At 43.9% G+C, this 13,942-nt stretch overlaps 2 annotated features.

The window, feature by feature from the left end:
* Positions 1,736 to 2,568: an enhancer, noted in NCBI's record as "OCT4-NANOG-H3K27ac-H3K4me1 hESC enhancer chr19:34057219-34058051 (GRCh37/hg19 assembly coordinates)". NCBI's record gives its function as "activates a minimal SCP1, AML or CMV promoter by ChIP-STARR-seq in primed H9 embryonic stem cells {active_cell/tissue: H9 hESC(primed)}" and the evidence as "EXISTENCE:reporter gene assay evidence [ECO:0000049][PMID:30033119]".
* Positions 2,569 to 3,400: an enhancer, noted in NCBI's record as "OCT4-NANOG-H3K27ac hESC enhancer chr19:34058052-34058883 (GRCh37/hg19 assembly coordinates)". NCBI's record gives its function as "activates a minimal SCP1, AML or CMV promoter by ChIP-STARR-seq in naive H9 embryonic stem cells {active_cell/tissue: H9 hESC(naive)}" and the evidence as "EXISTENCE:reporter gene assay evidence [ECO:0000049][PMID:30033119]".

A 13,942-nucleotide genomic window follows, 5' to 3' on the forward strand; every position in this document is an offset into this window, starting at 1 on the left:
TGCCATCACCCTTACATGCATACGAAATACTTTTGTCCCTTATGAAAATTTCACTAGGAAAAATTACTCACTACGTTCCTTAGTCATAGATGTGTATGTAAAATGCATTTGCGGGGCCAGTGGTAACTGACATAGCCTGTAACTTACCAGGTGTGAGATGTATAAATGAAGATGGCCATTGTCTGAAGTGAGAAGAATGGGATAAAAAAAAGAAAACAAAAATCGGAGAAGTCCTACTGAAACTCAGTGAAAGCGTCAGCTACATTTTGCAAACTTCAAGGAGTTTCTGTCAGGTGCTAGGCTGCTGAGACCAGAGTGAATTTTTGGCTTAAAGCAGACATACAGCCCTCTCTCCAGGGGAGGCAGCATGGTGTGGGAAAGAAAGTCAAGGACACGCTAGTGGAAAGTCATGTCCTCCTCTCCAGGGTGAGCATGCAGGGGCGGCAGCCGTTGGGGAGATGGGGCCAGTGCCTGCCTTGTCTTAAGGGCCTGCAGACACCCCAGCTTCAGATACATGGGCACAGTCTTGGCTGCACCTAGAAGCCCTGGGATGCTGACGTGAGCATTTCCTGGGATGGAGGAACTCCTTCTTGAACCCCCTCAAACTTGCAGAGGTGGGCTAGACATGAGTAGGCTGCTCATGAGCACCTTTTGTGTCCGGGAACCAGCAGTCATGAGGATGCTTTGTTGACCGTGAAGACCCAGTGTTTCCAGCAGGCAGAATTCTGTGGCCTGGCCTCTTCTCCAATGGCCCCTTCACCACTGTAGTGAGCTCCATCTGCCCTTGGGGCCCCCTTCCTGAACAAGAGAGATGCAGCTCACTCACACAGTGGGATGGGGATGCCCTCAACTTGACAGGCAAAAGCCTGGGCATGAGAGTGAGCTCAGCTATCCAGCCCCCTGAAGAAAAGACAGATGGAGCAGAAAACCGTATTGTCATGATATCAAGGAAAGAGAAAAAACAGAATTCTAAAAATATTTACTCCAGGAAACAGATGTAAGGTTTTCTTTCCAAAATGAAAACATTGAATCTGCAAACCAAATGGGGAAGAGAGGATGAGGACAAGCTGTGGTGGAAATGGAGCTGGTAGTCAGGTAAAGCATCCAAGGACACAAACATCACAGCAAAATCGCAGAAGGGTCAGCGACAGGGAGAATCTGTGAGAACCCTGCAGACAGTGGACTCGGTGACATGGAGCATAGGTTTGAGAGGCTTTTTCAGAGTGCACCAAAAACAAAACAAAACAAAACAAAACAAACGAACAAAAAAAGGACCAGAGAAGTTAGAAGCAATAATCGGCAGAGCAGCGGCTTTGAAGAAAAGAGATTGGAAATCCAATCAGGAGGATGGGTGTTAATGAAGAAAGAACATGACTAACAAGGAAGAAAAAATATTCAAAAATAAAAGAGGAAAACCTGGCTGAACTGAAGACAGATCTAAATCTGCAGGTTGAAAGGGTTTGCTAGAGACCAGGCAAAACTAGTAAACATCAAAAGATAGTGGTGACACACTAATCGCTTGGATTCATGAGGAATGAATACCTACAAAGACATAAACAGCAGGCTGCCTTGGTTCTCTCCCTGCACTCCTTACCGCCTGCCCTCCTTGGAGTAGGGCCTCACCCTGCCTTCTCAGCATCTCTTTTCTTTCCTTTCCTTTTCTTTTTTCCTTCCTTCCTTCCTTCCTTCCTTCCTTCCTTCCTTCCTCCCTCCCTCCCTCCCTCCCTTCCTTCCTTCCTTCCTCCCTCCCTCCCTCCCTTCCTTCCTTTCTTCCTTCCTTCCTCTCCCCCCTTTCTCTCTCTCTCTTTCTCTCTCTCTCCCTTCTTTTCTGACAGAGTCTTGCTCTATCGCCCAGGCTGGAGAGCAGTGGTGCAGTCTCGGCTCACTGTGCAACCTCTGCCTCCCAGGTTCAAGTGATGCTCCTGCCTCAGCCTCCCGAGTATCTGGGATTACGGGTGCCTGCCACCACACCTGGCTAATTTTTGTATTTTTAGTAGAGATGGGGTTTTGCCATGTTGGCCAGGCTGGTCTGAACTCCTGACCTCAGGTGATCTGCCCGCTTGGCCTCCCAAAGTGCTGGGATTACAGGCGTGAGCCACTGCGCCTGGCCTCTCAGCATCTATTTCTCTGCCTTCTTGATCACCCCTCCCTGCGCCTCAGTCCATCATGGGGGAATCCCAGGTGAGATGCACTTGTACTCCTAGCGTTACAGGAAAGGGATCCCAATCCAGACCCCAGGAGAGGGTTCTTGGATCTCGCTCAAGAAATAATTCAGGACAAGTCTGTAGAGTAAAGTGAAAGCAAGTTTATTAAGAAAGTAAAGGAATAAGGAATGGCTACTCCATAGACAGAGCAGCCCCGAGGGCAGCTGGTTGCCCATTGTCATGGTTATTTCCTGATGTTACGCTAAACAAAGGTGGATTCATGCCTCCCCTTTTTAGACCATAAAGGGTAACTTCCTGATGTTGCCATGGCATTTGTAAACTGTCATGGCGCTGGTGGGAGTGTAGCAGTGAGGACGACCAGAGGTCACTCTCGCCTCCATCTTGATTTTGGTGGGTTTTGGCCCACTTCTTTACTGGAAACTGTTTTATCAGCAAGGTCTTTATGACCTGTATTTTGTGCTGACCTCCTATCTCATCCTGTGACTTAAAATGCCTTAACTGTTTGGCAATGCAGCCCAGTAGTTCTCAGCCTCATTTTACCCAGCTCCTATTCAAGATGGAGTTGCTCTTGTTCACACGCCTCTGACACTAGTCGTCTCACTGCAGAGCTGCTGAGCTGCCTTGGATACTGGGCTAATCTTCAGAGACCAGAAGCTGGCAAGGCTCACAATATGAGCCTTGGCTGCTCACACCTTCCCCCAAGGGAATCCCTATGTGCAGATGGGGTTTGGATAGGCAGAGGGGAGAGACCCCTCCTTCTGCAAATTCAGGCCAAAGATGGGTCAAGCCCTGAAGAGCAGAAGCCACATAACTTTTGGGCCACACTGTAGACCCAGTGGGTGAACTGCTTTTCTCAGCCAGCAGGTCCACTGGGGCTCACCCAGGCTAAGCTAGATGCCCCCTGGCAAGGTTGCCAACTCCCTGACCTCTACCTAACGACCCAGGGAGGGGAATGGCTTGCCAGCCCATCACTCCTGCAGCAACTGTGGTGGGAAGGATGAGAAACGTAATTAAAATCTCAGGCATCTTTTCCCAAGGGTCATTCCAGCTGAAGAGCCTAAATATCATAAGGGTATGAATGAGCTGCATTTATTATTTTCACCATGGAGACGTCCAAGAAAACTGACCTTTTCAGCTTCAATAAAAACGGATTTTCCTGCAGATACTTTGACAACAGCTGTGATCATGAGCTTGGCTGAAACTTAATATTAAACACCAAAGACCAGGAAAAAGAGATGCCTTCCCAAGGCCTGGGAGAGTTACTGACACCCGCTTGCAATTAGACACTGGTATGGGCATGGCAGCCTGAGCCCAGCTCACAGAGGCTCACTCACTCCTCTCTGGATCCAGATGGCTGAGGAACCCACTCAGCATCAAAGCCACCTATTATTTACGCGTTTAGTTTAAGGCATGTAGCACGGGACTCAGAGCAAAGCTGCAGTAGCAGACTGCCCTGGAATTCAGCAGGACTAGGTTCCGGTCTGCTTGGATTCAGCATCCCCTCCTGTCATGTGACCAGGAGCCCCAGACATCACACTCTGGCTCGTCTTCCCCTAAACACAGCCCAGAGCTGACCCTCCTGCCATGACTTGGCCATACTAGTTGGCAAAAAGCTTGCCAACTTCCTGCCCCACCATTTCTACTGACCATGGTAGCCAATACCCAGAGGAACAGATGACAGTCAATGGCAGCTGCTGCCTTGCACTGAAATCAGGTGTTGGACAGTAACAAAACCTTGAGTTCCCTCTAAACACCTGTGCCTGACCCCAGGCATTTTGTCCTCCCTGTCCCAACCCTGCTGAAACCACCTTTGCCAAAATTATGACTGAGAAAATTATTACAGTAAAAGAGATCTGACTGAACCAACTCCGTCTTGCTCCTAACCTCCAAGTTGTCCTTGTTCATTCCTGGGCATAGGCCGAACTAACTTTGGGAGGAACTTGGTTTACAGTTTAATTTTGAAACAAAGATGATAACAGCCTTTTCCCAAAACAAACCCCCTTCTTGCTTGGGGACTAGACTGCCTTTGCAGGACTAAAAAATTAGCCACATAAGATTAGAAATTATGGTGTAGGAGTCACTGTTGCAAAATCTGAGATTGGTGCTTTTGCAGATCTTCTGCTCCAGTGCACCAGCTGATGCCACCCAAATCGATAAACTGGCTCATCTGGTCTTGGGGCCCCCCACCCAGGAGCTGACTCAGTGCAAGAGGACAGCCTCACCTCCCGATGATTTCATCTTCAACCCAACCAATCAGCACTTACCACTTTCCAACCTTCTACCCACCAAGTTACCCTTAAAAACCCTTGTCCCCCAATTTCTGAGGAGATTGATTTGAGTAACAACTCTGTCTCCTGTGTGGCGTGGCTGGCCTCTTGTCAGTTAAACTCTTTCTTTACTGCAATGCTGTGGTCTTTATTTGTGCAGTGGGCATGAAGAATCTCTCAGGTGGGTACACTGCCACCATGAAAGTGAAGCAATTTAAAAAGGTATAAAACAATAAGGACAAAGGCAAATGAGGAGAGAGTAGCAACGAGAGATTTCAATGAATTTCAGAAGGCAGAACTTGGAGGAAGGCAATCTTACTAGGCAGAGCAGAGAAAGCACCTGAGGTGCTTTAGAGGAGACTGGTGAGCATGAGCCTGTCAGAGATGTTTGAACCACAGCAACTCCATCTTGAATAGAGGCTGGATAAAATGAGGCTGAGACCTACTGGGCTGCATTCCCAGATTGTTAAGGCATTCTAAGTCACAGGATGAAATAGGAGGTCAGCACAAGATACAGGTTATAAAGACCTTGCTGACAAAACAGGTTGCAGTGAAGAAACCCACCAAAACCAAGATGGAGACGAGAGTGACCTCTGGTTGTCCCCACTGCTACAATCCCACAAGCAGCATGACAGTTTACAAATGCCATGGCAACGTCTGGAAGTTACCCTCTATGGTCCAGAAAGGGGAGGCATGAATAATCCACCCCTCGTTCAGCATATCATCAGGAAATAACCATAAAAATGGGCAACCAGCAGCCCTTGGGGCTGCTCTATCTATGGAGTAGCCATTCTTTTATTCCTTTACTTTCTTAATAAACTTGCTTTCACTTTACAGACTCATCCTGAGTTCTTTCTTGCACAAGATCCAAGAATCCCCCCTCTCTTGGAGTCTGAATCCAAACCCCTTTCCTGTAACATGCCCATTAACACAGAACCTCAGGCAAGTGGTGGGGATGGATTCCGGAAGCTGGGACTGGGAATGAGAGTTTAGGAGGATTAAAAACAAGGGAGTTGGATGACGTCACAGAAGAGTGCAGTTAGAAGCTGCAGGAATCTTTCCCTCCACCCTAACAAGTTTTGATCTGGCAAGGGCTGTCTAAAGCAACTATTTTGGAACTCTGCAGTCTAGTTGAACACGTTCGGCATCCAAGAGAAAACTTAATGGAGAAGCTGGTGAATTTTAATACATTTCCATGTTTGCGTACTGGCTACCATCCCCCACCTGCCAGCCCCGTGGCAAACAGCTGTGGGGACAGTGGCCTGCATTCCTGGTGTGACTTGCTGGTGCCAGGGTGGGGAATAAGAACCTTATCCTCCAAAAATTAGAGTTGTGTGTTTTGATTGCTGATCCTTTTGACCTCTGGGGGACTGGCACAGAGTCCAGCCATTGTTTCAGATCACAAGAGCTAGAGCAGCTTTTCTGCTGTGAGGGGATTTAAAGAGACATGACTTCCCTGTTCCCTCCCCTCACCTCAACAATTTTGGGAGCCAAACATTTAAGGAAATCTTTGTCAGGTCATTGACTGACAGAGACAACGGAACAGGAACTTCAAGGACCACATGCAATAAGCAATCACAATTTGTAAAAATAATCTGGAAAAAAATCACAGATGGATGGCTCCATCCTTAACAAGCAAAAATCCACAATCCTTGAGGAGTGTGAGAGTTAGAGTTCCAGGATTACCACAATAATAATCAGAATGCCCAGTACTCAACAAAAAAAGTACAAAACATACAAGGAAATAGGAAAGTATGACCTGTTCACAGGAAAAGAACATTTGACAGAAACCATCCCCGAAGAAGACCAGACATAGGAATTACTAGTCAAAGACATTAAATCAATTATCTTAGACACATTTAATGAGCTAAAAGAAACCATGGATTAAAAAACCAAAGGAAATTGAGAAAATAATGTCTAAAAAATGAGAATATCAATAATGAGAAATTATAAGAAAGGAACCAAACTGGTCTTGGAACTGAAAAATACAATAACTTAAAATGAAAAACTTACTGGAAGCATTCTACAGCAGATTTGAGTAGGCAGAAGAAAGGATCGGCAAACATGAAGATAAGACAATTGAAAGTATCCAGTCTGAGGAACATAAATAAAAATGAATGAAGGAAAATAAATAGAGCCTGAAGGATTTATGGGATGTCATCAACTATAACTATGCATTATAGGAATTACAGAAGAAGGAAGAGAAAGGGGCAGAAAAACATATTTAAAGAAATTGTGGCTAAAGGCTTCCCAAATCTGATGAAAGATATGATATAGATACTCAAGAAGCTCAACAAACTCCAAACAGGATAAACTCAAGAGATCCATACTGAGACATATTATACTCAAATTGCCGAAACCAAAGCAAAGAGAGAATTTTGAAAGCAACAAGGGAGAAGCAATTCATCACGTACAAGGTATCATCAAAAACTTAATAGCTGATTTCTCTTTAGAAACCCTGAAGGCTAAAAGGCAGTGGGGTCACATATGAAAGTCCTGGAAAAAAAACTCAATCAAAAATTCAACATCTGGCAAAACTATTTTTTAAGAATGAGGGAGAAATTAAGACATTTCAAGAAAAACAAAAGCTGAGGGAGATCATTACAAATAGACCTGCCCTAGAAATGCTAACAGGCTGGATACACACACACACACACACACACACACACACACACACACAAGACAGTAACTTGAAGCTGTAAGATGAAATAACACTAACACTGGTAAAGGTAACTACATAGATAAATATAAAAGCCAATATTATTTTTCCTTGGTTTGTAACTTCCTTTGGTTTGGATTGGTTTTGGTTTATACTTTTGGTTTGGTTTGTAACTTCTCCCTTTTTCCTACCTGATTTAAGAAACTAATGTATACAACAATAATTGTAAGTCTATGTTAATGGGCACATAAGGTATAAAATGTAATCTGTGACAATAATAATGTAAAGAGGAGGGATGAAGATGTATAGGAACAGAGTATTTATATTCTATTGAAACTATTATCCAAATTTAATTGTTATAAGTTTAAGATGTTATTTGTAATCTCCAAGGTAACCACTAAGAGAATAACCTAAACACATATAGAAAAGGAAAGAAAAATGGAATCAAAATGATACACTACAAAACAAATCAACTAAATTTTTAAAAAGGCAGCAATGGGGGAATTATACAACAAAAATCATGTAAGACATACAGAAAACAAATAGCTAAATGGCAGAAGTAAATCCTTCTTTATCTAGAATATATAAAAACTCCTGCAAATGGACAATACAACAACGAAAATCCCCAAACAACTCAATTTTAAAAATGGGCAAAGAATTTGAATAGAAGTCTCTCCAAAAAAGATATACAAATAGCCAATACAAGATGATTGGCTAATATCATTAGTTATATGGTTCAGCGTCCAAGAGTCCAATATGCTCAATATCATTAGTCATTGGAGAAACGCAAATCAAGACCACAATGAGATATCACCTAACACCAATTAGAATAGCTATAATTTACAAAAAAGAAAAAAAAGTTTAAAAGCACACCAGAAAATAACAAGTGTTGATGAGGATGTAGAGAAATTGAAAAACTTGTGCATGGCTAGTGGGAATGTAAAATGGTGATGCCCCAGTGGAAAACAGTTTGGTGGCTCTTCAAAAAGTTGAACATAGAATTATTATGTGATCCAGCAATTCTGTTCCTAGGTATATATCCAAGATATTGAAAAACAGGGATGAAAATAGATACTTGTACACCCATAAGCAGAGTGTCACTGGTGAAGGGTGTTCAGGTTCTTGGCATTTTGAACAAAGAATTGGACAAAATGCAGAAACAAAGCAAGGAAAGAATGAAGCAATGAAAGCAGAGATTTATTGAAATAAAAGTACACTCCATAGAGTGGGAGCAGGCTTGAGCAAGCAGTTCAAGAGCCCCCTTGCAGAATTTTCTGGGGTTTAAATACCCTCTAGAGATTTTTTTTATTGGTTACTTGGTTTACACCCTATGTAAATAAAGTAGTGGTTTGCAACCAGTCTAATTGGTTGCAGAAGGTGGCCAACCAGAAGCCGAAGTGAAGTTACAAAGTTACAGATGAAGACTTGGTCTGTGACCAGTCTGATTGGTTGCAAGAGGGGACCAATCAGAGGTACTTTCGTCTTTCATCTGCAATGCAGAAAAGGGGTTGGGAGTTGCAAAGGGAGTAGCCACTGATCCTTTTGTTACTTAAAGGTAGGGTTTTCCTCTTGATTCAGTTCTAGGAAGTCAGCATGGATCAGCCTAAGGTTCTCTGCCTCCAGACTCTATTCTCCTGCCTCAATAGCTGCATTTTTCAAAATAGCCAAAAAGGTGTAAACAACCCAAGTGTCCATTAATGGATGAATACATTTTAAAAAATGTGAGATATATATATACCTGCAATGGAGTGTTATTCAGCCCCAAGATGTACTGAAATTCTGACCCATGCTACAACATGGAAAAACCTTGAAAACACTATGCTAAGGAAAAGAAGCCAGACATAAAAGGGAAAACATTGTATAATTCCACTTGTATGAAGTATCTAGAATGGCCAAATAAATACAGACAGAAAGTAGAATAGAGGTTCCCAGGGGCTGGGGCAGGAAGGTATGGGGTGTTATTTCTTAATAGGTACAGAGTTTCTGTTTTGGATGATGAAAAATTTCTGGAAGTAGATAGTGGTAATGGTTACAAAACATTGTGAATGTACATACTGCCACTGAATTGTACACCTAAAAAGGGTTAAAATTGGCAAATTTTATGTTACATATATTTTACCAAAAAATTTCAAAACCAGAGGAATTGGTGAAAAAGCTGTAAATTGAGCTTCTGAAATGCCAGAGTCTCTCTCCTTGCTCAATATCCAGGAGATGAGAGGCTGGAGTTTCATTTTATTAGGAAATTGAACCAAGGAGTTGAATTTTAGGGCATCAGGCATAAGAGATGTCTGGGGAACAGTGTGGATTGCTAGGCCTCCTTCACTCACCAGATATGGCATTTCCCCAGTCACATACCACCCACCCACCACCACCAACCCCCACACACACCACAGCACATTCCACACACCATGCAAACACACTCCATGTTCCTGGCTAGAATATCAGCAGGTTCTTTCTGGAATAACTGGGCTGTCACTGAGAGAAGAACCCCACACATTGCATATGTAGTCTGTCCAGTAAAAAGACCAGCCTGTTGCTTGCTCAGCCTCCCAGGAGTCCCGAAAGAGAAGAAATGTAGAAGGCTCAGTCTGCCTGGTCAACAGCAGTCCACAAAAGACAACAGAAAAAACAAATGGGAGGAAATTGTAAAAATACTATAAGGCAGTTTCCCATGGTTGAGGGACATAATTCTCTTCAGTTAAAAAGCCCACCAATTGTCCAGCACAAGAAATGAAGTAAGTTTACTTCAGGGTTCATCAAGGTCAATTTTTAAGTGACAGAGATAGGAAGAACTAAATGTTTTCAATGAGAAAAAAAGTATAGAGCCTGTGATGTGCCCCTCTGATACCCCTTCAGGAAAACATGTGTTGTCCCAGATGTCAGCAGGTGGCTTCCAGATCTCAGCCCTTCAGGGGTCTCTACGTGTTACAGAGAGGCACCTCGCCCCAGGTCATGCCTAGGTGATCCATATCCGATGGCTGTTAGATGTTGGAGCATAAAAGTGAGGATATCTTTGTTCAGTTCAGGACCCTCTGAAAAGTTATTCCTGCTCCAGAGCTCCCCTGGGGTCAAGGAAGGCTATCTCAAGCCTGAAGTGCAGTACAACTTCTCCTTCTGCCTAAACCTGCCTCCTTTCTCTCTCTTTTATAAATGTTAACCACAGGAGAATCTTTAGTAAACATCCTGCATGCTAAGTCTGCTTCCAAGGGAGCCCAGCCTGCAACAGATGTCATACACAGAACTGGGAATTAGAATGGCATCTGACTCCTCAACAACAACACTAAAAACTAGAACACAATGGAGCAATGCTTTTAAAATTCTGAGGGAAAAATATTTTCAAGCTAAAATTCTATACCCAGCTAAACTATCAATCAAGAATCAGCGCAGAATAAAGGCATTTTCAGACCTTCAAGTACTAAAAATATTTACTTTCCAAATCCATTTCTTAGGGAGCTGAAGAACAGGGATCTGAAGAACAAGCTCCAGGAAAATGAGAAAGAACAAAAAATGGTGTCATGAGACCAGGAAAAAGAAGATCCCACACAGGAGAAAAGCGAAGCCTGCTCATAAGGTGGAAGCTTCACAGCAGATTGCAGCAAGAGGTAGAAGGTTCCAGGAGGGAAATCCTCAGGAGTGAAACAGAGCTAATGGGTTAGAGCAGAAGCCCCCAATTTTTCTTGGTCCATGACTTCCTTGATGTCTTAGTAATTTTTTGTAGAGATGGGGTCTCACTACAAAATGTTGCCCAGGCTGGTCTTGAACTCCTGGCCTCAAGCAATCCTCCCACCTTGGCCTCCCAAAGTGCTGGGATTACAGGCATGAGCCATTGTGCCTGGCTACTTGTTTTTATTTTTTGTAGTGACGGGATCTCGTTATGTTGCCCAGGCTGGCCTCAAACTCCTGGCCTCAAGTGATCTTCCCACCTCAGCTTCCCAAAGCGCTGGGATTACAGGCATGAGCCACCACACCTGGCCTGATGGTTTAGTAATTTTTGTATTGCTGTCTTCAGGCTAAAAGAAATATCTAACAGTTCTGTTTATTAAATAGTTAGATCCAAACAATTTAATAAATATTTATGCCCTAACAGCTTAGTAGCCATTAAAAAAATATTATGCATAAATGGAAAGAAAAATAATATTTTTATTTTTATTTTATTCTTACATAACCACAATTACTTCCTGATGGGATGTGTCTGCCTTTTGGACACTGCAGTTTCTCAAACCTTTGCATCAAATTGTGCACCTGTAGCTTCATTTTCTGCTTCACTATGACATTTGCCCAATACTCACTTGTTATCATAGTAACTGCTGAAACCCAACTTTGCAAAGATATAGCATTATTGTAAGAAATGTAGTTCAGGGGCCAGGCGCAGTGGCTCACACCTATAATTCCAGCACTTTGGGAGGCAAAGGCAGATGGATCGCTTGAGCCCAGGAGTTTGAGACCAGCCTGGGCAATATGGTGAAACCCCATCTCTACAAAATACAAAAAACAAAACAAACAAACAAACAAAAAAACACAAAGCCGGGCATGGTTGTGTGCCTTTAGCCCCAGCTGCTCGAGAGGCTAAGATGGGATCTCTTGAGCCTAGGGAAGTCAAGGCTGCAGTGAGCCATGATGGTACCACTGCACTCCAGCCTGGGTGACAGAGGGAGACCTTGTATGAAAAAGGAGAAAAAAAAAAAGAGCTGTAGTTCACTCTAACATTAGAACAGTTAACTAATAGTTTGTGATACCTAACAAATATTGACTATCATTTGGAAAATTCAAAAGATCCTATGGTACATCTGTGCTATGCAGTGAATGAACTATGATATCCTGGAACTGACTTGGTACATTTTGGGAATTGTGATATTAGAGTATGTCAAAATATAGTTAATAGACTTTTGGCTGACATTTTGAAACATATGGAAAAAACTAATGATAGGTATATGGAAAACCAGACAAATAGGCTGGGCGCAGTGGCTCATGCCTTTAATCCCAGTGCTTTGGGAGGCCAAGGCAGGAGGATCACTTGAGCCCAGGAGTTCAAGACCAACCTGGGCAATATAGTGAGATTCCATCTCTACAAAAAATTTTAAAATTGCCTGGGTGTGGTGGTGCCCGCCTATAGCCCCAGCTACTTGGGAGGCTGAGGTGGGAGGATTGCTTGACCCTGGGAGGTCTAGGCTGCAGTGACCTGATCGTCACTGCATTTCAGCCTCAGCAGCAGAGCGAGACCTTGTCTCTGAAACACACACACAAAAAATGAAAACCAGGCTATAAAAAAGTGAAGCAATTATTGACTCTAGAAACAAGGTTGGACAAAAAATGAGACGAGATGATATACTTCTTGACTTAACAATAAACAATATTTGCATGATCATAATAACATGAACACTGACCACAGTTTTAACCAAGAGTGTGCTGGGGTTGGTAGACAAAAGTAAAAACAAGCTAGAAACTTGTTCACACTGTGGAACAGCAACATAGAAAACGACAAAACCAAAGAATGAAGATAGGGCCGTGTAAACGTGGGATTTGGAAACACAGAGGCAGATACCAAGGAAGCAGCTATAAGAGGTAAAAGTGTCACCAGGAGAAAGATTGGGGTATAGGGAAGTAAAACTATTGCCCTTATTCTAAGTCTTTTGGTAATATTTGACTTCTCAAACAATGTGCATGCATTGCTTTGATAACCACATTTAAAAATTAAGCCAAACAATGTTAAAACCTAACAAATATAACCCGGCTGCCCCTTCTAATCTACGTAATATTTCACATGCAACCGAAAGTCTCAGAGCTCTCCCGAGGTTTCTGCAAACCTGAGCCTGAGAGTGGAGGGATGAATTATATTCTCACAGTGCTGCCAGCCCGGCTGATGCCTCTGTGGGATTCTTGTCCTCTGCAAAGTATGGGGCCTCTGTGATTTACTCATCACACTTCACCTGCCCTGGCCTCTCCAAATCAGCTAAAAAGAGACAGCTGAGGCCCAAGAGGTTGGGGGCCTCTGCAGAGGGGTTCCTTATTAGGCACCCCTTTTTCTTCACATCAGGCTTAGACTCCCACCTCTGTCTGAGGCCTCTGATTCCTGTCCCTGTCCCAGAGAGACCCTAGGAGTGACCTGCATTTACTCTCACAGTTGGCTCCAGGCCTGACACCTGCCCCCGCCCCCACCACCACACACACACACACACACACACACACACACACACGGCAGGAGGGACAGCAGCAGGAGCAGAGCAAATGGCACACTCTCTTAGAAGAACAGCAGAGACCCTCATCTTTCCTTCACCAGGCTTCATCTTTCCAGAAAAGAGTGGTGGATTTAAGTAGCAATTTCCCCCTCCATTACATAGTATTACCCCCCACCCCATATTGACAAGCACAGGAATCACAGTGACTGTGCACCGTGACCGCCACACAGCAGTCTGAGGATGTGATGACCACAGAGCTCCTTCTTGGGGACTGGCGTTTCCCATGCTCTGCATGTGTGTGTGTGTGTGTGTGTGTGTGTGCACATGCAATGTGGCCAGGCCGCCATGTGTCTCAGCAGAATGGTAAGACGAGTGAATAAGGCATTGATCCCTGTGAGCCCAAAGAACGCACGTGTTAGTCTCTTAGTAGCAAGCCTGTGAGCAACTGTTCTCAGGTGTCAGGAGTTGTGCCTCACTCATCCAGAATAACTGAGAGAGGACTTTGGGTCCCTTTACAGCCCCCGAGGAGGGTCCCTTTCCCAGGCAGGCCAAGGACCCCAGTTTGAAGAAGCTTGCCTGCCCTGCAACTTTATTCTAAACCCTCAGACAGCAGGTTCTGCATTCTTCCCCATCTTCCCTGCAGCATTTACCACCGCCTGAGGGAGGGGGGTATCC

This window comes from Homo sapiens, chromosome 19 (assembly GCF_000001405.40).
Source record: "Homo sapiens chromosome 19, GRCh38.p14 Primary Assembly".
NCBI lineage: Eukaryota > Metazoa > Chordata > Mammalia > Primates > Hominidae > Homo > Homo sapiens.